At 45.4% G+C, this 25,721-nt stretch overlaps 1 pseudogene; it reads left to right on the top strand.

Moving 5' to 3' along the window:
- Positions 12,209-12,763, top strand: PCNPP2 (PEST containing nuclear protein pseudogene 2; annotated as a pseudogene).

The following is a 25,721-nucleotide window of genomic DNA, read 5'->3' as shown; positions in this document are numbered from 1 at the left end:
TGTCTCCATAATCTAAGCTCTCACCTCAAGAAACTAGAAAAAGCTAGCAAAATGGATGTCAAGCAAGCAGGGAAGGACACAAGAAAGATAAAAGCAGAAATTAAATTAAAACAGAAAAAAATCAACGAAACAAAAGGTACATCTTTGAAAAGATCAATAAATTGGCACATTCTAGCAAGACTGACAAAAAAAGAGAGAGAGAGAAGGCAGAGATTACCAATATAAGGAGTGAACAGAGGCTATCGCTACACACCCCACAGACATCAGAAGGATACTAAAGGAATACAGTAAACAATTCAACACACATACATTTTATGACGTAGATGAAATGAACCAATTCATTGAAAAGCACAGCTACCACAGTTCTCGCAATATGAAATAAGCAATTTGAATAGCCCTATTAACTATTAAGAAAATAGAATTTATAAACTCTCATAAAAGAAACTCAAGGCCCAAATTGTGTCACTAAAAAAGGCTACCAAACATATAAAAAATTTCATAACCATTCTACACAATCTCATCCAGAAAACAGAATAAGTAGAGATGCTTCCTAACTCATTTTATGAGGTAAGTAGGATACTTACTCCAAAACCAAAGACAGTACCAAAACATGATACAGACCAGTATTCCTCAAAAATATAGACACAAACATTCTTAAGAAAATACAGCAAATATAATTCTACAATATACAAAAATAATTATGTACTATGATCAAGTTGGGTTTATTCCAAAGATAAAAGGCTGGGTTAAAATTTTAAAAATCAAGCCCTATAGTCTACAATACTAATAGGCTTAATGAGAAAAATTATGTGATTATATCAATTTATACAAAAAAATTTGACAAAATTCAAGGCCCATTTATGATAAAACTCTCAGGAAATTAGAAATAGAAAGGACCTTCCTCAATGTGATAAACAGCATCTGCAAAAAGCAACAGCTATCATCATAGTTAATGGTGAAAGACTGAATGCATTCCTTTGAGATCTGGGAAAAAAACAAGATGTCCCCTCTCTCTACTTCTATTCAACATAGCACTGGAAGTTCTAGCCAGCACAATAAGAAAATAAAAGAAAATGAAGGCATGTAGATCTAAAAGAAAGATACAAAGTGTCCCTATTGCAGATGACATGATAATCTGCATGAAAAATCTCAAGGCATCTACAAAAACAAAACAAAATAACACAAGGCAAAACAAACAAGCACATGAATAAAAACCTCCTAGAACTAATAAGCAAAGTTGCAAGATATAAGACCAACCCAATGGTATTTTTATATACTCACAATGAACATATGGAAACTGAAATTAAAAATACAATATCTCATACAATCAGTAACACAAAATAAAATTATCAGGTGTAAATCCAACAAAACACTTACAGGATTTGTATGCTGAAAAAGACAAAGCTGAAAAGAAAAATCAAAAATAAAAATAAAGACAGACATACCATGTTCATGGATTGGAATACTCAACATAATAAAGGTGTCAATTCTTCCAAATTGGTAAACAGGCTTATCACGATTACTATCACAATTTCAGTAAGATTTTTTGTGAACATAAATAAGATTATTCTAAAATCTATATAGGAAAGCAAAGGAACTAGAATGGCTAAAACAATTCTGAAGATAAAAAATATAATCAGACCTATCAGTTTATCAGACTCCGATACTTAATACGTAGGTACATTACTCAAGACTCTGTGCTACTGGTAGAGGGAGAGACACATTTATCAATAGAACAGAATAGAGAGCCCAGAAATAGCCCCACACAGGTGTGGTCAACAGATTTTTGACAGAGGTGCAAAGCAGTCCAATGAAAGAATGATAGTCTTGTCAACAAATAGTGCTGGGTCAGTTGGATATCCAAAAGCAAAAAAATGTACCTTGACCTAAACCTTACGCTTAATACAAAAGCTAACTCAAAGTGGATCACAGATTAAAATGTAAAGGGTTTATACCCCCTTTACATTTAAATGAAGCTTTTATATTTAAATGAAATACCCCTTTACATTTAAATAAAACTTTTACAAGATAACATAAGAGAATATCTTCGGGACCTACGGCTTGGTGAAAAGTAATTTAAAATGATAGCAAGGTGTGATCTATAAAAGAAAAACATCAACAAAGAGGACCTCATTAAAATGAAACCTAGCCCTGCAAAAGACACCATGAAGAGGGTGGAAAGACAAGCTATAGACTGGAAGAAAACATTTGAAAACTGCAGATCTGACAAAAGGGCTCGTAACTAGAATTTGTAAAGAATATATTAAAAACTTGACAGTAAGAAAATCAAACAATTCAAATAGAATATGGGCTAAAGATATAAAGAAGACACATGGATAAAGGCACATGACCAGCCATTAGGGAAATGCAAATAAGGTCATGATGAAATTTCACTACAGATCTATGAGAACAGCTAGAACAAAAGATACTGCCAATGCCAAATGTTTGTAATGATGTGGAGAAACTGGATCACTCTAGCAGGAATGTAACATGGTACAGCCACTTTGGAAAAGAATTGGGCAGTTTATTAAAAAATTAAACATACAATACCAAACAACCCAGCAACTGCTCTCCTGGGCATGCATCCCAGTGGAATTAAAAATAAATTCATCCCTGTGGAATTCTATGGAATGTCGACAGAAAACCTGCACATGATTGACCATAGCAGCTTTACTTGTAATAGTCAAAACCTGGAAACAGCCAAAATATGCTCATTAGGTGATTCACTAAATGGATGGTGGCCATCTACCAAGGAGTTTTACTCAGCAATAAAAAGAATCCACTGTTGATACATACAACAACTTGATTGAATCTCAAGACTATTATGCTGAGTGAAAAAACCCAAAATCTGTGTGATTTTTGTGGCAGGCCAGGTCTCACTGACAACTGTTTCAGTACTGATTGAATGGTTAAGTTAAATATTAGAAACCAATGCCCTTATACAAAGGCTGGGATGTAACAAAAGCCCATTAGGAGTTTGGCCTAGGCTTTTCCTGGGCCTTAAAGCATGACAAAATAATGAAGGAATTCTTAGCAGGGCCCATTTAGGATTAAACAAGTTTTATTGTGGGTCTGAAGAAACTCCCCAGGCCTCCATAAACAAGTTTACTGGGGATCTGAAGGAACTCCTCAAACCTCCGTGATTTAGCAGGAGACAAAATAAGGGTAATCACCTCAGCACCTGGACCCATTTAGATTAAGTAAATTTACTGAGGCTCCAGAGGAAGGTCTTCAGGACTCAGACCTTAGTTACAGATTAAAATAAGTTAATCACTTAGCCTTTAGATGAATGCACACTTACACATAGATATATAGCTTAGAAGGTAATATAAGCTCTGAAAAACTTTGTAATTTTGACTTGGTCTGGTGATAATTTACAGGCCTTCTCCCTGTAACTGGTTATAGAAATAAAAACTCTCTTCCTCCCCAGTTCATCTGCATCTAGTTATTGGGCCACAAGAAATAGCAGCCCACCCCCACCCCCACCCCCCACCCTGCTCAGTTTGGTCCAGGAAAAATTTCACTTACATAATATACATGGAGATGGGAAACAGATTAGTGGTTGCCAGGGGCCAGGACTGAGGGGCTGGTGGCGAGAGAGAAATGGGTGTAAACATAAAGGAGACTAGGGAGATCTTTGGGCAATGAACTCGTTCTGTAACTTGATTGCAGTAATGGTGACATGAATCTATACATGTGATAAATGGCACAGAACTACACACATCACACACATACACACAACATGCTGTGCAATGTCAATTTCCTGGTATTGATATTACAATTATGTAAGGTGTAACCATTGGAGGAACTGGGTGAAGGGTACATGGAACTCTCTGTACTATCTTTACTTATACTTGCAAATTCCTGTGATTCTACAATTCTTTCTAAATAAAAAATTAAACATTTAAATAATTAAAAATCAGAAAACCCACTTTTGTGTCTGTGGGTGTGAAAAATTTAACAAGAGATGTCCCTCTGTTCTACTAGGCAACTTAAAGGGTAAATGTGTTCTAAAGACCATACCCAAGTATTGAAGAGTAGACCCCTCCATGAGAAGGAACTGGGTTATCTTCTCATTAGGCAAGTGGGGTGGCAGGAAACTGCACATAGAAATACCATGGACTTGGTTTGGAATCATGTTGCTGTTCCTGGAGCCTGCGGTCTCAATGAGGAATGGCTTTTTTCTAAACTATTCTCTTTCCAGACAATGCAAATACAGCACATAGAACTCCAAAACCTTGAGCCACAAATCCCAGGATCCCTTGGGTAAGCTGGAGGAAGGCTAGGGGCTGCAGGCTCTCTGTATCCAGAGAGACATGCTCAGGGCTGGTGGCCGGCTTGGCCATTTCCTGCTTCATGGAACTGAGCTTGGCACCAGCACTTCTTGCCATTTCTCAAGTGGCTCATTGCCCTTAACTCTGACTTTTAGATGACCACATGGCTCCCAGCTGTAGACTTTATTTTTCCTGAATTTATCCACTTATCTCCTCTTGGTTAGCCTGAGCATCTAAACTTAAAATCATAATGCTACAAAACTTTTTCTTCCTTTTTTCCCTTTTATTTATCCTTAAATGCCTATGTGCCCATTATAGTCATTGAAGCCCTGGTACATCCCGCAGTCCCCACAACTTTTATTGAATGGAATTAACTGTATTCCTTATGAATTACAGATGATTTTTTCTAGCACGGTGGCATCTATTTTCAGGTGATTATAGACGATTCTGAATTACCTTTGGGGCTTCAGACAACAGGTTAGGCCCTGCAGGTAGGCGTTTTTCTGGGTTTATCATTTACCTCTGCTTTTTATCTGGTTTTGCAAAATCCTAAAGCCACAACTAGGATCTTGCATCTGGGGGCTTTCCTAATTAGAGATTTCAGTCCTAAAGCAAAGATCAGAAGCTGTCTTAGACTTCTGGAGTTGAAGGACTCTGGTCATTTTGTTTCTTCCCTTTTTGTTTGGGACAGCAAGAGACAAGAAAGTCGTGGGGAAGGGAGGCGGGGATGGTGTTGATGGGCTTGTGTGCTGGGTTTATGAAAGACTGAGGGCATTTATAAAGAAGAGCTTCAATGTTTCTTAAGTACAATTCTTATTAGGCGACTGTATAAAATTCCATTTTAATCATTAAAAATGGCGGTGCAGGTGGTCATTTCACATGGCTCAATGTAACACATTCTCCTGGGAAACAGCCTTTCTTCATCTGTCCTTTCCCTACCAAAAATACACAGGCTTCTTTCCTCTTTTTGTCCCTCGACACCCTCTTCCAACAAGCCTCCTCTCATCCCAGCACTTCCATCCCAACCAACCACAATATTTACCGGTTCCCAGGAGACAGCCGTATTTGATGTGGTTTGCAAACATCAGCATTGTAGACCAAATGGGAATGGGCTTGACAGGAAGCTGATGGGAGAGAATTCTCCTGGTGTGAACCCTTCAGGCTTCCCAGTGGCAGTAAAAGGAGGAGGAGGAGGAGACGGGGAGATGATCATTAATGAGCCTTCTGCGTAGCTTCATCCTGAGATTCCAGCTCAGGCACCCAGGGATTTGCTTTCCTGTGCTCCTGAGTCAGGTTTCTTATACCCAGGGCCCATGTTGTTCCCTTTCTTGGTTCTGGAGGAAAATCTAGCAAGCTCACTGTCAGCACCCTCCTCGGCAAGTCCGAGTTGCAGCCTCTTCCACTTTGCTAAGCCAGTTTCCACCCCTCCATCCACTTCTCTCCCAAACGCTTGCTGTCTTTCTCCCTAATGTCGCTGGCCCAGCTTTCTTCATCCCTTTGGCCTTCAAATCTGGTAAATTTATTGCCGCTAGAGTGGAGTTTCAGGAGTGTGAGAAGGTAAGTGTGGTGAATGCAATATATTCAGGTGGAAAACGCATTGGGTTTTAAGCACAGGGAAATCATCTCGTTTTAAACAATAATAACAACAGCACAACATTTCCTTAGACAACTTCATCCTCCTCCTGCCCACAGCTACCATCTTTCCTCATCTTCCTAGAAAAGTACTATTTCCTCTCTTTCTCCTCAGCTCTCTCCCATTTAGCTTGAATCCATTACTGCAAGCAGAGCACCTCCTGCTAACGCTGCCCAGGTCCTCGGTGCCTACACCACTGCCCTTCTCCTCCATCGTGACCACCCAGCCAGCTCTGCCAGTACGGATCCTGCTTTGGGGCAGTTGTTTTTCCCTAGATCATCTGTTGATTCTCCTGTCTGCTACTCCTTTGCTCTACTTTGCAGATGCCTCTGGTTTTACTCAGGGTTGCACCTGGGGCCTTCTCATTTCTAATTTTCTCTTTAATTTCCATAATAGTCATGCATCGTTCACAACTTCACTCTTCCCAATCATGCCTCGCACTGTAGCCAAAGGAGTCTTCTCAAAATGCCCCTCTATAGCTCCTCAGCTCCTGGGGTGAAGTCCACACTCTTGCACGGCCTAAGTGCCCTGTGTATCCTGGCTCCAGCCACCTCTGCCTTGTCACACCCATACTCTCTCGGCTGTCTCCTCCCCACCTTCAGAAAGCTCATTCTTGTCATGCTGCCTCCTGCCACAGGGCTTTTGCTGTCCCCCCTCCTTAAGCGTTTGCCTCCTTGCTTACCACATTAAATCCCACACATGTTCCAGACAAGTGGTCCTTCCTGCAGGAAGCCTTCCGTGATATGTCTGATTTGCTCCATATTACCTCCTGGCCATTGAAGAGGTAAATCTCCCCTAATTCCCCTTCCTTCATCCCAAATTGGATTCTGCATCTGCCTTCAGACCTTGCTCCCCACTCTCCAGAAGGCTTGGATCTCTGTTACACTTGAGCAACACATTTGTGAGATTTTTCCTTCACTCAAGCCAGTTTCAAGGCATGATGCAGAGGGTTGTTTCTGTCTTCCCACGCGGTAGAAACATAGTTTTTACTCACTTCCGCCTGCTTTGACATGATGGAAGTTCCTGACCTTTCTTGAGGAGGGGAGGATTTATCTTTTTTCAAATTACTCACATAAACTGATCTTTTTATTTTTAAAATTCACATAATTAAAATGCACATTAACATTCAGGATGTGTAGACTATTTTCAGTCTCACCCTGGCATGCCACAACCACCCCATGCCAGGACCTGGCACTCAGGAGCCCTGGAAGTTCTCCTGGGGAGTCCTGCATCCAGACCTGCCTGCTTACCTGGGGGTATCAGCTTGATGACCCTCCTGGTCGGGGCTGGAGCTGTAGAGGTGGCCAGATGTGCCCAGCAGAGCCACAATGCAGAGAAAGAACAAGGTTTCATCTCACTTACAGTCTTCCAGGGTCAAGAGATTTTTATTCACCAAATTAAAATGTTCGACAGTTGGTTGCTTAATACAAGCGGGCAGGAGGGACCAGGGCCCTGGGAGAATAGACAGCCACTTTGGCTAGATTCCAAAAGCTGGAGACAGTAGAAGTGTAGGCTCAGCAACTCTGTGGTCCTGAAGCTCAAGAGGACCCTGAGAAAAGGGTGGAGAAAGAAACTGTGTGTGTGTGTGTGTATCTGTGTGTACAGCAGGGATCTCAGAACCTTACAAGGCAGTTTTCTGTAGGCAGGACAGGCTGATTTGAAGTGGTTGCCCGGTTTACCTCCCTCGGGCTCCTTGCTGATCAGTTGCTTCTGATGCCTTGGGGATCTGACAATATATTTGGAATGTTTTATGCCAATTACCGCTTTGGTTACTAGCACTTTCTTTCTTTCTTTTTTTGAGACAGAGTCTCACTCTGTTGCTCAGGCTGGAGTGCAGTGGCACGATCTCGGCTCACTGCAACCTCTACCTCCCGGGTTCAGGTGATTCTCCTGCCTTAGCCTCCCGAGTAGCTGGGATTACAGGTGCCCACCACCACACCCAACTAATTTTTGTATTTTTAGTAAAGACAGGGTTTCCCCATGTTGGTCAGGCTGGTCTTGAACTCCTGACCTCAGGTGATCCACTCGCCTGCCTCAGCCTCCAAAAGCACTAGGATTACAGGCATGAGCCACTGTGCCCGGCAGTTACTGGTATTTTCAATTCATTTTCTACTATGTTGGAAGAGAATTTAAGATGAAAACAGTCTTATTTTTCTCTCACTATCAATCTTATTTGATTCAGATGTCAAGAAAGCAAGGTGTTTTCTGTGTTAACCTAGAATTTTTAAATACTGCTGCTGGTATTATATTATGCTCTCCTAAATTTGCAGGACAATAGCCATGCTGTGAGCATCCACAAAGTGGAAGATAAGATCCACTCATTATTCAAGCAACATATATTTATATTCTTGTCACTTTTAATGAAATTTTCAACATAAACTTGCTACATTTATCAGTGTTCTTTCTGCCATGCACTCTGTCACATAGAGAGTAAATTCCAGGGCCCTTTAAAAAGAAACTAGAACATATGGTTTGGACAACTAAGTACTTTCTGCTCTCCCTCCCTCTCTCTGTCCCTCCCAACTATCATTCATTGATTTCTTTATCTAATCCATTAACTAATGTTGCCATGCCAGGCCCAGAACTGGCACTGGGAGCACAGTGATGAATGGGACTAAATATCTGTCCTCAAAAAGCCTATAATCTAGGAGAGAGGGAAGAACAGAAGATAGAAGTGGTGACAAGTATGACAGCTGCTCTCATGGAGGGGCAGCAAGACTGGAAGCATGCAGGGTGGGGCAAAGGCCTCCTGACAGAGGAGGGGCTTGCCCTCCAGCTTGCAGGACACACACACACACACACACACACGCGCGCGCACATGCATGCACATGTGTGGCACAGACCCCAGCCCCCAGCTCAGGGGCGCTGGGAAATGGAGCTAGCCTGGAGTGTTCCAGCTCTCTGAGCATTGCCATCTGTGTGTGTGTGTGTGTGAGAGAGTGCATACACGTGTGTGTCTGTCTCTGTATTTACACGTGCATGTTTGTGCATGTGTGATTGTGTGGGAATGTAAGAATGTGTGTAGAATGTGTGTAAAATGTATGTTTTGTGTAGTGCGTAGTGTGTGTGTGGTATGTGTGTGTGGTGTGTAATGTGTGTGCCTGTGCGTGTGGTGCATGTATGAATATAAGTATGTGTTGTGTAGTATGTGTGTTGTGTGTAGTGTAGTGTGTGTGTTTCTATGTTGTGTGTGGTGTGTGGTTTTTGTTGTGTAGTGTGTGCTTGTGTGGTGTGTGTGTGTGTTTGTGTGTGGTGTGCATTGTGCAGTTTGTGTGGTGTGTGTGTGGTGTTGTGTAGGTTGTTGGGTGGTTGTGAGGTGTGGTGTGTGCATGCGTTTGTGTGTGGCATATGTGAGTGGGTTGTGTGTTGTGTAGTCTGTGTATGTGTGGTGTGAGGTGTGTGTTTTGTGTAGTCTGCATGTGTTTGTATGGTGTGTGTGTTGTGTAATCTGCATGTGTTGGTTTGTTGTGTATGGTGTGTTGTGTGGATGTGTTTGCATGTGGTGTATGTATGTGTGTGGGTGTTGTGTAGCCTGCATGTATTTGTGTGTGGCATGTGTTGTGTCATCTGTTTGTGTGTAGTGTGTGTGCGTTGTGTAGTTTGTGTGGTGTGTGTGTGTTGTGTAGGTTGTTGGGTGGTTGTGGGGTGTGGTGTGTGCATGTGTTTATGTGTGGTGCATGTATGCGTTGTGTGTTGTGTAGTCTGCATATGTGTGATGTGTGTTTTGTGTGTGTTGTGTAGTCTGCATGTGTTTGTTGTGTGCGTGCTGTGTAGTCTGTGTGTTTGTGTGTGTGGTGTGCATTGTGTAGTTAGTATAGTGTGTGTTGTGTGGTGTGTGCCTGTGTTTGTGTGTGGTATATGTGAATGTGGGTTCTGTGTTGTGTAGTCTGTGTGTGGGGGGGTGTGGTGCGCATTGCGTAGTTTGTGTGTGTGTGTTGTGTGCATGTGTTTGTGTGTAGTGTATGTCTTTGTTGTGTGTTGTGTAGTCTGTGTGTGGGGGGTGTGGTGTACATCGTGTAGTTTGTGTGTTGTGTGCATGTGTTTGTGTGTGGTGTATGTGAGTGTGTGTTGTGTAGTCTGCATGTGTTCGTGTGGTGTGTGTGACTGTGTGTATGGCACGTGAAAGTGTGAGTGTGTGTCTGCATTGCAGGGGCCGGCAGTGGGAAGGGAGAGATGCTGAGGATCCCCGCCTGGCTCCTGGAGGTATCCCGGCCTTTTTGCAGGCTTCACAGCTGGTGGGTGTCCTGGCCTGGGGGCATTAGACAAGCAAGGCTTCAATGATGAGGCTGGAGCGTCAGACCCTGTGGAATCAGGGAAGCTGGGGACCTTAGCTTCCTGAGGTGGCTCGATAAGACTTTGCTCAACCTGAGCAGTGGCACCTAGCAGAAGCAGGCGGGAGGATCCCAAGCGGACATTTTCTTTAAAGCTGGTGGTTAAGGTTCCTAGACAGGCACAGGGAACTTGTTGGATAAGTCCCAATCACCCCCACTTCTGCATATATTGGATCAGTGTCCCTGCATTGATGCTGTTGCAGCGTCCTCATTTTCCAAGCGCCCATGGCCTAAGAAAAGGCCAAACAGGACCTAATAGGTGTCTGAGGAGGCTGAGAAAAGAGGCTGGAGGCTGACTGCTGGTCTTGGAGACTCCCCCCACCGGCAGGGGGCTGAGGAGGGGCTGCGGGGAGCAGTGAGACCTCTGGAAGCTGCACAGTGGTTCACAAGCGTGGCTGCACATTTAAATTCAGAGGAACTTAAAGCAGCACTTTCACCACACTCCAGCCCAACTGAACACGAATTTCAGGCTTTGTGGTTTTGAACCCCAGATAATTAGGTTTGTGATCGAGGTTGAAGACCAGCATCTGCCTAGTTCCTAGTGTGGTCCTGGGATCACCTGTGTCTAGACTGTCCAAGTTACAGAGCTAGATCCTTAGACCTAACACAGACTTGGGGTCTGAGGCTATGGGTGGGCCTGGGAACCTGTATGACAGTGCAGTTAATAGGATATTTTTAGTTACACCCCAGTCAAACCAAACCGATTGGGCTCCACATAGGGCAAGGGAAAAGTAAAGAAAGGATGCTTGGCTGGCGGAAAAGGCAGGTGGCCCCACTAAGCATCAAACATGTGGCAGGGATAAGCCTGGGCTCTAGGGGGTGTATAGCCGTGAAAAGAGCAGGCTCTGCTGTCAAAAACATGTGGGAGGCAGACAGCCTATAATTAACATGTACAATAAAGTGTGCAAATGCTGCATGTGCAGTGCAGCGTGAAAATGATACATGTATGATGCAGAGTATATATGCTGCATGTGTGATACAGGATGTAAGTGAAACACGTATGCTGCAGGGTGTATCATATCCTGGGTGTAGGCGATGCATGTATAATGCAGAGTGTGAATGCTACATGTATGATGCAGGCTGTAAATGCTGCGTGTGCAATGCTGGGTGCAAATGCTTCATGCCGTTGGGCCCTGGCACTGAGGTGTGTGCTGGTATCTCCCCAGTGTAGTGATGTCTCAGAACCTGAAGGATGAAACATTGGTCAGAGTTCTTGGTTGCAGACAACAAAATCCACTTTAAAAAAAGAAAAAAACTGGATGGGTCTTAGTAAATTATATTAGTTGGCTTCCACAAGTTCTGGAACAGAGACCCAGCCTGGACACTACCTAGCCAGGAATCAAGCAGCCCTGAAACCACCAGCGACATCCAGAGAGACACTCTGGGGAAAAGCTGTTGCTGCTACCTCTGGCCCTTAGCACCCTCCACACAGAAGCCTGGTCCCCACCACAGCTTCACCCAAAGCAAACTAATGCCCCAGAAGCTGACCTCAAGGGCTCAGAGGCGGAGAAGCTGTGTGAGGGCCGCGGGGAGTCGGGAATGGCAGGCACAGGTTGGTTCTGGGCTTCCTGTTGCCCTTCCCTGCTGAGTTTGGTCAGTTACTTCACTCTGGTGTGACCAGGCAGCCTCTCCCTGGGGTTCCAGCGTGCCCACAGTGAGGAGGTGCTTCCTCCGCAGCTTCCATAGGGAAGGAAGGCAGAGGCCTGGGGAGGCCTGGCCTGGGCTGACCGCTGAGGCTGCTAGAAACGCCACCCTCTGGGCCCCTGGAGCTCTGCGCCAGGGACGGAGGCAGACTGTGGTGGGTGGACAACAATGCGCTCACTCTTGCGGAATGTTTTAGAAACCGTAGCTTCTTTGCTTGCTTTCTATAAACATGTATATTGTCCATCAATGGCAAGCGTACTTGGAGGTCTTTTTGTGTGGACTGGCATGGGCAGTCAGGCAGAAACATGCTTTGTCAAGAACACAGAAGGGGCGGCCACAGTGGGGAAAATGGCGGAGGGGAGGGCGAGAGCGGAGAAGCCTGAAAAGTCACAGCGAGCTGGAGCAGCCAGAGGACCTGAAGAGGAAGCAGAAAAACCTGTGAAAACGAAGACCGTTTCTTCTAGTAATGGAGGGGAAAGTTTCAGTCGCAGCACTGAGAAGGGTCAGCTGAAGGAGCTGCAGACCTCCCAACGGAGTCTACAAAGATCTCCACATTGGATTCGCCATAGGTAGTCAGATGATGAAGAAGACATCAGCCATGGCCATCACACTCGGGTCAGGGAGTGAAGCGGAGGAAATGCCTCCAGAAGCCAAGCTGAGGATAAAGAATTCTGGAAGATCCCCACCAACACCAGCCGGACCAAACTCCTTCAATAAAGGAGTTTGGGTTTTCTGATAACCAGAAGTTATGGGAGCAAAATATAAAATTTCATCTTGGAAATGTCCGTGAACAAGACAATTAAATGATGTGTTTTGAAATTGGGATGGGGGTGGGTGTAAAGTTAAAAGAAACAGTTTCCTTTTTTAAAGAATGGTATAAGGCCGGGCGTGGTGGCTCACACCTGTAATCCCAGCACTGTGGGAGGCCGAGGTGGGCAAATCGCTTGAGGCCAGGAGTTCGAGACCAGCCTGGCCAACATGGTGAACTGTCTCTACAAAAAAAATACAAAAATTAGCTGGGCATGGTGGCAGGTGCCTGTAATCCCAGCTACTAGGGAGGCTGAGACAGGAGATTTACTTGAACCTGGGAGGCAGAGGTTGCAGAGAGCTGAGATCGCACCATTGCATTCCAGCCTGGGCGACACAGCGAGACTCTGTCTCAAAACAAACAAACAAACAACAACAAAAAGAATGGTATAAGACATTTTGGGAGCAGCTTTATTTTTTTCGTTTCCATTTTTTTTTTAAAGATTGAGAGGTACACTAATAAATGAGAGCTTGAAATTAAAAAAAAAAGAACACTCTCTCTAAGGCCTTGCTCCTCAAAGTACCCACAGCAGACAGCACCTGGGAGCTCCTAAGAAAGGCAGAGTCCCTGGCACCGCCCACCTGGACTCCTGCACCAGAATCTGCATTTTAAGGAGACCCCACAGGAGTTTCCTGGGAACACTGAGGTAGAACAAGCTCTGAGCTGGAGCTGTTCTCAGCCTGTGCGCAGAAACATCTGGGGAGCTATTCACACTCCTAGGTCCAGGGCACAGCCCAGATCAGTGGAACCAGTGTGCCTGGGGGTGTGGGGGAGGGTGAATTGCAGGGACACCTGTTAACTTTTCCCCAGGCAAGCAGGGCTGAGCGTCTGCTCTAGGCTCACCCACCAGCTTTAGCTCACCTGAGCCTGCATCTCCATCTACCTACATAGTTGCTAATCATGGTCTTTGCCTGACCTTCATCTCTGGACCCTGTGGATCCAGAAACTTCCACCCTGCCCTCACTCTCCTGTGTGGCCTCTGCAACTCTCAACAGAGCTGCATCTTGAAACCCTCCTGCATATACCACGCTCGGGCCACTCCACACCCATTAGCCAGCACCTCTGGGTGCAGGCCAGGACAGTGTCATCTTTCAATACATTCCTGCCACCCACGTGCTGCCATCGACCTCCCTGCACATCCTCACCTGCCATCCCCCCAGGTAAGAGTCCATCGTGCATTATCATAAATCCCTGTTGCCTGTCCCTGCTACAACTTACACCCTCCCTTCTCCTGTCACCTGTGGGGTCCTTGGCAGATATTTGAACTTGGTTTAATCAAACTCTGTGCTTACTTCATTCCTGCCTCCAAGCAGCCCAGTGCAGGTGGAGGAAACTCTAGAATTCTTGCTAACTAGTCTCATGTTACACTCCCAAGTCAGCATAGCCCTGAGAGGTGACAACTTTCCCTGATCCCTTCATTCAACCCGCGCAGACACAATCACTTCACCTCTCCTTCGTACTCGAATGCCCTATGCCCTCGCCCTTCTCATCACTTGCAGCTGAGAACCTGGCTCATTTTTCACTGGGAAAGTAGAATATAACAAAAGGGACCAGTTACAGGCTCCCACATCTTGTCCACCAACCACTGGCTGTGTCCCAGACGGTGCCTTCCTCCCTGCTGAAGTGGAGAGACTCCCAAAACTTCCCTGGCCAGACTCACCGTGGGCTCCTGAGCCATCCGTCACTCTTGGTCAGTGGCCTGGCTGCTGTATGTCCCCTGCTCTGATGCATGGTCACCAGCTCCCTTTCTCCTGGCTGGATCTTGGTAGTGCTCAGCATGTGGGGGATGGCCCTCTGTCTGTCTGTGGAGAGTAGATGCTGCCGAAACCCCTGCTGCTTCTCCTCCATTCTCCCTGGGATCCGCTGGGGTCAGGCTTTGGTTCCCACCGTCCTACCAGACTGTCTGACCTGTCAGAGGGTTTAACATGGGTGGCTGCATCCAGCTTCTGGAAATACTCTTCATGGATGGAGTGGCCCTCCCTCACCTTCCCTACCTTACTGCAGCTCCTTCCAGACTCCTTGGCTGGATCCCTCCCTCATCTGGCTACTCCACCCCTGCAGCCCCCGGGGCTCAGTCTCCACCTTTCTGTCCTCCACTTTCATCCCTGGGCTTTAAATCTCACCTATGTCCTGCCAAATGCTACCTAGAGACCCCCCGCCTCAACCCTCCCTGAACTCCAGACTCTACATGTCCAATGGACATCCCTAACTGAATAGACAACAGCATATATACATGCATTCAACACACGCGTATGACACAGGTATGCATGAGTGCATACTTGTAAATTCAACATAGTCCTCTCAAACCGACATATATATCAATTTACTTAGGCATATAAGCTTCATACATAGGTACATACATCTGTCTATTTCAGTCCTAAAAATTCTGCTTACTGAGTAAAGATTGTGGGAATTGTTTTGCTTATTTTATTAAAATCCAGCTGTATTTATAATTATTTTTTTTCCTGCCCATGATTCTTTGCAGGCGTGTGGACTGATGATTATCATTTTCAAAGCAAATAAACAGAGCCTTCACTATGGGCTTTTTTGAAAGTCAAAACACTTCCCATGTTTAGGTTCCTGCTTCTCCATGCTGAAGACATGGTGAGAGAATACAGGGGGAGCTGAAGGCGAACAACATAAACTTATGTTTGAGAAGCACCTTTTACTCTATGAAATAAAGTGAGTGTAAACAGTAAATGGAACAACAAGCTTTCAGAGTCAGTGCAGGGCAAGCGCTGGGGAGGGAAGAGCTGGCTGGTCAGGGAGGGTGCACTGGAGAGAAAAACCGTCAAATTGGCCGGGACATTCCAGGACATCAGGGAGACCACACAACAGCCCACTGCATCCTGGGGTTCTGCTTCTTACCTGAAAGTCGTGGCAACAAGGGCCCCTCGGTGCTCCTGTGACTGCAGAGGACAATTTGCTTTTTGTTTGTTTGTTTGTTCGTTTTTTGAGACAGGGTCTCACTCTGTCACCCAGGCTGGAGTGAAGTGGCTGGATCTCTGTTCACTGCAACCTCCGCCTCCCGGGTTCAAGTGATTCTTTTCCCTCAGCCTCCCTAGTAGCTGGGACTACAGGAAACTGCCACCGTGCCTGGCTAATTTTTGTATTTTTAGTAGAGTCAGGGTTTCACCATGTTGCACAGGCTGGTCTCAAACTCCTGACCTCAGGTGATCTGCCTGTCTTGGCCTCCCAAAGTGCTGGGATTACAGGCATGAGCCACCTGGCCCAACCTGACAATTTGGGTTCACAGCTACATCTTTAACACAAACATCTAAAGAAGATTTCACTGAGCAGGATCCTGGGGATGGCTGGAAATGACAGCTGGTGGCCAGAAGCCCCGGAGGAAGCCCCCTAGTGCAGGACTCTGAGCAGCCTTGAGGGCATGTGACCCAGGAAGAACAAAGAGCAAACATGGCCAGACCACGCCGTGGGGTGCAGCAGTAGCGGAGGATGATGGTGTGGGCAGAGGTAAGCTTGCTGCAGGATTTGGGGCCAAGTGCCCAGAGCAGGGGCTGGCCCTAGAGGAACCACATGCATTGGCAGGAATGTGATGCACCCGGACTCAGCTGTCCTAATCAGGGTGAAACATAAACTCTGAGGTGAGTTACAGGAAGGACATAACCATGAACCATGAGATCCAAGGTGACGGTGAAGCATTTTGGCCAGCCGAGAGGTGGGGAATCTGCCACAGGGTAGCCTGGCTGTGTGAGAGCTGATAACAGCACTGTAGGTGGCTCCCAGGAAGGTGCAGGTAGAATCCTGGCCCCAAACAAAACCCACGTTGGGGCAGAGGGAAGGCAGTCCACCTCCCACACTGGATGGGATATCAGGAACTGAGGTCAAAGGCTTCCTAGAATGGCCTTGATCAGGGCGGGATGTGGCCAGCTATAGTGACAAGGCCAGTTGATCATACTTCCAGGAGGGGTTTCCTCTCTGGAAAGATGGCCAGACATGAAAGCGTGGGGCAATGGGCAAGGCCAGTGTCCTGCCCCAGGACCCAGAGCTGGGGCCCACAGAGAGGACAGGTCTCTGTCTACCCAGCTGGCTGGTACAATGCCATATTAACGTTACAAATTATAACAAAGGAATGCTCGGACTGTCCTCTGACACTACGAATACACGTCCCTTTAAAAAAAAAATTAAATTTGAAGGTACTTTGAAATTATAGATGAGGACAATGCAATCAGGAGAAGCAAACAGCATGGGAATTAATTCCATCACGAAACCAGGATGGGCCCCATTTTGGACACTTTTCAATGATGACTCTTGAAGCAGCAATGTTTGGCTTTGGCATAGGGTTAAACGAAAAGTTGACATTCAGGTTAATCTGTGAATTTGTTTATGGGGTTCTCTCTCCTCACTTTATTTAGTGCATGCTCTCTCTGAGATGTGTTCTGCACTGGAAGGATTTCTGAGTAGCATTCTCTCCTAAAGCCTTTTGCAGAAGGTAGACTGTGAAGAGTGTTCCTCAAGGTAAAAATACTGAACAATTAAGAAACCTGCCTGGCTGGGTGTGGTGATATGTGCCTGTAATCCCACCTACTTGGGAAGCTGAGGCAGGAGGGTCCCTTAATCTCAGGAATTCAAGACCAGCCTGAGCAATATAGTGAGACCTTATCTTAAAGCAGAAGGAAAGAAAGAGAAAAGACAGAAAAGAAAGAAAGGAAAGAGAGAAAGAGAAAACAGGCTGGGCGCAGTGGCTCACGCCTATAATCCCAGCGCTTTGGGAGGCCGAGGTGGGTGGATCACCTGAGGTCAGGAGTTTGAGACCAGCCTGGCCAACATGGTGAAACCCAGTCTCTAGTAAAAAAAAAAAAAAAAGGTACAAAAATTAGCCAGGCCTGGTGGTGCGTGCCTGTAGTCCCAGCTACTCAGGAGGCTGAGGCAGGAGAATCGCTTGAACCCAGGAGGCAGAGGTTGTAGTGAGTCGAGATCACACCACTGCACTCCAGACCTCCAGCCTGGGCAACAGAGTAAGACTCCATCAAAAAAAAAAAAGAAGAAGAAGAAGAAAAGAAAAAGAAAGAAAATAAAGGGAAGGGGAGTGGGGAGGGGAATACAAAAGAAAAGAAGCCTTCCTAAAGTCACTCAACACTTCACAGTGATTAGCAATATAGGTCCTCTAAGGACACAGAAGCTGCGTGGCACAGGGCAACCTGCTCCTGCCAGCGCTCTAAGCTGAAAGCTGGGACAGGATGCCAGGGAAGGCCTGAAAGTCTGCCCTCGCAGGCGGCACACCTGACAGAATTCAGACAGGAGAGAGTGATGGCACAAGTCACTTGCAGGATTTGTGTGTATTACCCGAGAGTGACATGGAGTCAGCCGTGCCGAAATGGGAGGCTCATTGCAGGTAGTACAGGGTGACTTTGTATGTTTACTTCATTACATTTAATCCGTGGGAGGGTCCCCTCACAAGATGTCCTGAGACTTTCTGTTTCCTGCCTCCCACTGCTGAAGGGGAACGAGTTTTGGTCTAACTCGATCTTGCCAGCTGAAAGATCTCTGCCAGGGGCACAGTATATCACTCATTATTTATGAAGGTCCTCTCCAAGTTCCCCCTGTATTCCAGAAACTCATATTTATTATCCAACTTGATTTTGTAGAACGTTTCTCATTGCTACTACAGGGCCCTGGGCTTCTTTTCTTGGGCTTTTTTTGGTTTTTGTTTTAATTTTAGGTTGATTCTGCTTTTGACTAAAGACATCAGTGCTGGCCGGGTGTGGTGGTTCACACTTGTAATCCTAGCACTTTGGGAGGCTGAGGCAGGTGGATCGCCTGAGGTCAAGAGTTCAAGACCAGCCTGGCCAACATGGTGAAACCTCGTCTCTACTAAAAATACAAAAATTAGCCAGGCATGGTGGTGGGCACCTGTAATCCCAGCTACTCAGGAGTCTGAGGTGGGAGAATCACTTGAACCCAGGAGGTGGAGGTTGCATTGAGCTGAGATTGCGCCACTGCACTCCAGCCTGGGCAACAGAGCAAAAACTCTGTCCCCCACCAAAAGAAGACATCAGTGCCAAATGCTTTGGAGAGTCTGGTGGGGAAGCTGGACCTCTCACTTGCCTGAGTTGAAGCCGGGCCTCAACTCAGGCCTCCCCTTCTCTGGGGCTGAAGGGGACAGTATTCACCAGTCAGGCGTGACTGAGCCCAGCAGAGAAGCTCTAACATCCAGGATTGATGGTAACTTCAAAATGTATTTTGCCCCCAGCTTTATTAAGAAATAACAGGCAAGTAAAAATTGTATATATTTATGGTGTACAACATGGTATTTTGGTATATTTATACATTGTGAAATCATCAAATCAAGCTAATGACTATATCCATCACCTCATCTACTTATCACATTTTTGTGGTGAGAATATTGTCTTAGCAATTTTCAAGTATACACTACATTAATATGAACTATAGCCACCATGCTGTGTGATAAATTTTCACAATGTATTCTTCCTGCCTAACTAAAACTTTGTACCCTTTGACCAATATCTCCCCATTTTCCTCACTCCCCAGACCCTAGTACCTCCACTCTACTCTCTACTTCTATGAGTTTAACTTTTTTAGATTCCATACATCAGTGAGATCATGCAGTATTTGTCTTTCTGTGCCTGACTTATTTTACTTAACATAATGTCCTCCAGGTTCATTCATGTAAAAAATGACAAGATGTTTTTCTTTTTTAAGGCAAAATAGTATTTCCTCTTATGTAGGTGCCACATTTCTTTATCCATTCATCCAGTAGTGGACACTTAGGTTGATTCCTTATCTTGGCTGTTGTGAATGAAGCTGCAATGAAGATGGAAGAACAGATAGGTCTTCGAGGTGCTGATTTCATGTCCTTTGAATATGCACTCAGAATTGGAATTGCTGGATCATATGGCAGTTCTAGCTTTAATTTTTTGAGGAACTTCCAGACTATTTTCCATAGTGTTTGCACTAATTTACATTTCCATAGAGAGTATTCAAGGGCTCCCTATTCTCCACATCCCAAGGAACACCTGTTATCTTGATCTTGTCTGCTTGATCGTAGCCATCTAATTGGTGTGAGGTATCTATCTTGTCTGCTTGACAACCTCTTTGTGCTTTTGGAGTCATATCCTAAAACTCTTTGCCTCCCCGATGTAAAGAAGCTTTCCCCCTATGTTTTCTTCTAGTAGTTTTATGGTTTCAGGTCTTGTGTTTAAATCTCTGTATTAATCTGTTCTCACACTGCTATAAAGATACTACCAGAGATTGAGTAATTTATGAAGAAAAGAGGTTTAATTGACTCACAGTTCCATGTGGCTGAGGAGGCCTCAGGAAACTTACAATCATGGCAAAAGGCAAAGGGGAAGCAAGGCACGTCTCACACGATGACAGGAGAGAGAGAGAGCGAGGAAGAGGCACACTTTAAAACCATCAGCTCTTGTAAGAACTTCCTCACTATCATGAGAACAGCATGGGGGAAACGGCCCCCATGATCCAATCACCTCCCGCAGAGTCTCTCTCTCAACACATGAGGATTACAATTTGAGATGAGATTTAGGTGCGGAAAAACAGAGCCAAACCATATCAGTCTTTAGTCCATTTTCAGTTTATTTTGCACATGTTGTGAGATAAGGGTTCAATTTCATCTCTCTGCATGTGAATATCCAGTTGTCCCAACACCATTTATAGGAGACACTATTCCTTCCCATTGTGTGTTCTTGGCACCTTTGTTGAATACAATCGACTATCAATGTGTGGGTTTATTTCTGGGCTCTCTATTCTGTTTCATTGGTCTGTGTGTCTGTCTTTAGGTCGGTACCAAGCTGCTTTGATTATGAGAGTGTAGGGGAGACAAAACTTTACCTTTTCCCATTTAGGATTTTATTTTTGGCTAGGTCTAAGAATTACATTGACACAAGACGGATTTAACAGGAGAAAAGCATACAAGTATATGAGGAAACTTCACAAGGAAATGAAGACTGAAAGGAGCAGTTAGAGTCAAACACGTATATACCGAATTAGACAAAGGTGTGGTAAACTGAGTCAATTGGGTAGAGAAAGTCCTAGAAGTAGGAAGATAAGGGTTAGTTTAACAAGATTTGTTTGTACAGAATTCCTCAGCTTCAACTTCCTGTCCTACATAAGAAGAATTTTACTTTCCTTGTGGTATAGGAAGGACATTTTTCTACAGAAATTCTATCTCTTGCTTTTCAGAAACAGAATGAAGGTCAGAATGATCTTCTTGTACCTGCTGTGTTAAAAAGTGCCTTTGATTCTACATGGTCAACAGACCAGAGCAACATATTTTGGGGTGGCATATTCTTTACTCCTTCAACAGCTTTGCAGTGTGTTTTAAAACCAGGTAGTGTGATGCCTACAGCTTCATTCTTTTTGCTCAAGATTGCTTTGGCTATTTGAAGTGTTTTATAGTTCCATATAGGTTTTAGGATTTTTTTTTATTTCTGTGAAAAAATGTTCTTGGAATTTTGATAGGGATTGCATTGAATCTCTTGTAAGACCAGGAACAAGACAAGAATGCTCATTCTTACCACTTCTATTCAATATAGTACTGGAAGTCCTAGCCAGAGCAATTAGGCAAGGAGAAAGGCATCCAAACTAGAAATATAGAGAAGTAAAATTGTCTTTGTTTGCAGATGACATGATCTTACATATAGAAAACCATAAGGATGCCACCTAAAAGCTGAGAATTAATAAGTTGCAGGATAAAAAAATCAGCCTACAAAAATCAGTAGCATTTCTTATATGCTAACAACAAATTATTCAAAAAAGAAATCAAGAAAACAATCCCATTTACAATAGCAACAAAAAATACCTTGGAATGAATTTAACCAAGGAGGTGAAAGATCTATAACTAAAAACTATAAAACATTGACAAAGGAAATTGAAGAAGACACACATAAATGGGAAGATATCTGTCTTAATGAATTGGAAGAATTAATATTGTTAAATGAATTTTATAGCATTAATTACAAGGCAGCAGTCTCAAATATGGTTGTTACAAGATCAACCATCGCTGGGAGGTAAAACAATTGTGTTTCTAAAACTATACTCTTGAGATTTTAACTGCCCCTCTTCTGCTTCTGGGAAAGTGAGGTCTGTGGGGACCACCAGGGACCTCCAGGGATCCATTGTCCTGGACATTGTCCTGGAGGTTCTATCTCAGCCCCTTTTTGCAGCCATGCTGAATATGTGGAATGTTACAATGTAGCTGGGAGCTGAGGGGCTCCTGTCTTTACCAGGCTCAGGTGTTAGGGAGCCGATGAAACTAGGCTTAGGTTTGAGTTTCAAACCACCAGAGTAAAAAGGAAAAGTACAAAGAGGAAAATAGTGACTATGGCCACAAGGATGGCAGATAGAAATAAAAGTAACCAGGAGTGACAGTGTTTATATCTGTGCATGCACATGTCTGTGTGACATGTGGGATAGGTGTGCCTGCGCAGGTGCATTTTCCCAAGTCATATCGAGTCAGAACTGGAGCTCTGAGACCAGCAGTCCTCACCTCCCCACCTTCCTCTTCCACACCTTGCCTCACTCCTGCAGGACAACACCCTGCCTCAGCAGAGACATTATTTTAAGCCATTGATTCCCAAGCGAGGTAGATATTTTTTCACAAGCAAAGGGAGATTAAAGTATATTACTGCTCACGACATGGAATCATGCACCTGTAGAGCTAGAAGTCACCCTCAGTATATTCTGCCTTTTCACTTGATTACAGCAGGAAGATCCATTTATTCCATAACCATTTATTAATGGTTATGTAAAGTATGGAAAGTAAAATTCATTTCATCTAAACCATTCCACTGGTCCCTACATGAGGCTGGTGAGGTTGTTTACAGACTATCAGGGAGGAACAGACAAAATAGCAACCGAATAAAAGATGGAATTAACAAGAGTACATCCAGGTGAGGGAGGCTGATGAAAGCACCTGAGAGGCACTGAGCCTTGAGCCGGTGCTGCATCCATTCTACTTCCCCTGCCAGCTCGTGGATGCTGTGAGGAACAGATCATCATGGCATGAGGACAGTGACTGTGTGGCACCTTAGCTGGGAGATCAAGGAAGACATGTGTGAGGATGTGCTCACCTGTGATTGATGGATTGGCTAGGAGGTTGAGCCATGCAAAGATGAGGGATGACCAAATTGTGCAGGCAGAAAGAACAGCTAGTGCAAAGGTCCTGAGGTAGCAACCAGCCTGGTATATTGGGGAAGAGTGAGAAAATCAGTCTGCCCAGAGCATGTGAAGCCAGGGTGAGAAGGGCTCAAGCCAAGGTCAGGATCAAATCCTACATGCTTTATATTGGCTTCCTAGGGCTGCTGTAACAAATGACCACAAACTTAGTGAATAAAACAATATAAACGTATTACCTTACAGTTCTGTAGATCAAACGTCTGACACAGGTCTCACTGGATTAAGACCAAGGTGTCTGCAGGGCTGGTTCCTTTCTGGAGGCTCTAGGGCAGTGTTTGTTTCCTTGCCTTCCCCAGTTTCTGGAGGACTCCTGCATTCTGCAGCTTATGGCCCCTTCCTCCATCCTCCAGCTCAAAACCAGTGATATCCATGTCAGCCTAAGCCTTTCTCAGGCTGCCATCACCCTTGTTCCCCCTTCCCCTTCAATGACTCTGTAAGGACCCAGGGCCCACATGGATAATCCGGGATGATCGTCCTTTTTCAGTTAGCTGATGAGTGACCTTAATTCCATCTGCAACCTTTGCTATGTAAGATAACATCTTCATGGCTTCTGGGGCTTAGGATGTGGACATCTTTGAGGAGCCATTATTTTGTCATTGTTAGCCCAGTAAGGAGTGTAGCTTTTTATCCTGCATGTGGCAGGATGCCATTGGAGGGATTTACGTTGAGAAGTATTCTGTTTAGGGAACCCTCAGGATGTTCCTAGTGCCTGCCATGGCCCGTTTCACAGGAGCAGCCCCCTGGCTGTCAGACCCTACCTAGGGCTCATCCCAAGCCACAGCTGACCCCCATGTGTCCCTCCACGTGGGGAAGGAGAGTTGAGTGGCTGCTGTCTGCCATCCAGCTGCTCCTGGCCAAGGCCTCTCCCTGATTCAGCCTCACCTGCATTCCAGAGGTATCTGAGTTATTTGTTCAACAAGAGAGTGATGTAGTGAAATGTCCACCTTTTGGGGATTTTTGAATAAGAAGAGAAATGAAAATACCTTAGAATTGATTTGGAGTTAGGCCTCCTTCATTTCTCAAGAGAGAAACACATAGTTTGAGACTCCCATCTTTTTTTTCGGTAACTCTGTCTCACTTGCCTTCCCAGTCATTTAAAAAGTCAACTTCAGACTGGGCAGCCAGGCAGAGGAGCTCCGGGGGGTCAGCCCCCCGCCCGGCTAGCCGACCCGTCCGGGAGGTGAGGGGCGCCTCTGCTCGGCCGCCCCTACTGGGAAGTGAGGAGCCCCTCTGCCCAGCCAGCCGCCTCGTCCGGGAAGGAGGTGGGGGGGTCAGCCCCCCACCCGGCCAGCCGCCCAGTCCGGGAGGGAGGTGGGGGGGGGTCAGCCCCCCGCCCGGCCAGCCGCCCCGTCCGGGAGGGAGGTGGGGGGGTCAGCCCCCCGCCCGGCCAGCCGCCCCACCCGGGAGGTGAGGGGCGCCTCTGCCCAGCCGCCCCTACTGGGAAGTGAGGAGCCCGTCTGCCCGGCCACCACCCCGCCTGGGAGGTGTACCCAGCAGCTCATTGAGAACGGGCCATGATGACAATGGCGGTTTTGTGGAGTAGAAAGGGGGGAAAGGTGGGGAAAAGATTGAGAAATCGGATGGTTGCCGTGTCTGTGTAGAGAGAGGTAGACATGGGAGACTTTTCATTTTGCTCTGTACTAAGAAAAATTCTTATCCTGTTGATCTGTGACCTTACCCCCAACCCCGTGCTCTCTGAAACATGTGCTGTGTCCACTCAGGGTTAAATGGATTAAGGGCGGTGCAAGATGTGCTTTGTTAAACAGATGCTTGAAGGCAGCATGCTCGTTAAGAGTCATCACCACTCCCTAATCTCAAGTACCCAGGGACACAAACACTGCGGAAGGCTGCAGGGTCCTCTGCCTAGGAAAACCAGAGACCTTTGTTCACTTGTTTATCTGCTGACCTTCCCTCCACTATTGTCCTATGACCCTGCCAAATCCCCCTCTGCGAGAAACACCCAAGAATGAACAATAAAAAAAAAAAAAATTTTTCAGGCCAAAAAAAAAAAAAAAAGTCAACTTCAGTGTCATCCCTAAGTTATTTAATCATTCATGTTAAGCGATCCACTTGCTGTGATCAATAGTCTTACATAATACTCTTTAGGAAGGAAGAGGAGCTGCCGTCCTATTTAACTGGTTATATAGGCTTGCATAGAAAGTTCCAGGAAATGACTATAATCATAGTAAATTGTGTAAATTAGCACAAGTTAGTAAAACTGGTGAAATTAGAAAATCTTTGTTTTAGGGATAAACTTCATGAAAGCCTGAAAATTAACTCTTTAGCAGCTTGCATTCCAGTTACCTTCAAGACTGTCGGATTCTGCAGAAGTGATTACAGCACTTGACAGCAACCCCAGACCTGGAAGAGTGAGGGGAAGCAGGGCTCTTCCCAAGGCGGCCAGGGGTGTGAGATGGAGTTTTGACCCTAGTGAATATCTCTTCACTGTTTTCAGGAGTGGAAGATAAACTTGCTGGCTTGGACTTACCTGAAAACACTGACTAATGTGTATTTCTTTTTTTGTTTGTTTGTCTGTTTAGACAGAGTCTTGCTCTATTGCCCAGGCTGGAGTGCAGTGGCACGATCTCAGCTCACTCCAACCTCCACCTCCTGGGTTCAAGTGATTTTGTGCCTCAGCCTCCCAAGTAGCTGGGATTACAGGTGCCGCCACCACACCCGGCTAATTTTTGTATTTTTAGTAGAGATGGGGTTTCATCATGTTGGCCAGGCTGGTCTCAAACTCCTGACCTCAGGTAATCTGCCTGCCGTGGCCTCCCAAGTGCTGGGATTACAGTCGTGACCCACCACACCTGGCCTAATGTGTATTTCTTGAGCATTGTAATAGACTGGTCTCT

The sequence above is a fragment of the Homo sapiens genome, chromosome 9 (genome assembly GCF_000001405.40).
Source record: "Homo sapiens chromosome 9, GRCh38.p14 Primary Assembly".
In the NCBI taxonomy this organism is placed as follows: Eukaryota; Metazoa; Chordata; class Mammalia; order Primates; family Hominidae; genus Homo; species Homo sapiens.
The sequence above is the reverse complement of the archived record's forward strand: the minus strand, read 5'-3'. Positions and strand labels throughout refer to the sequence as shown.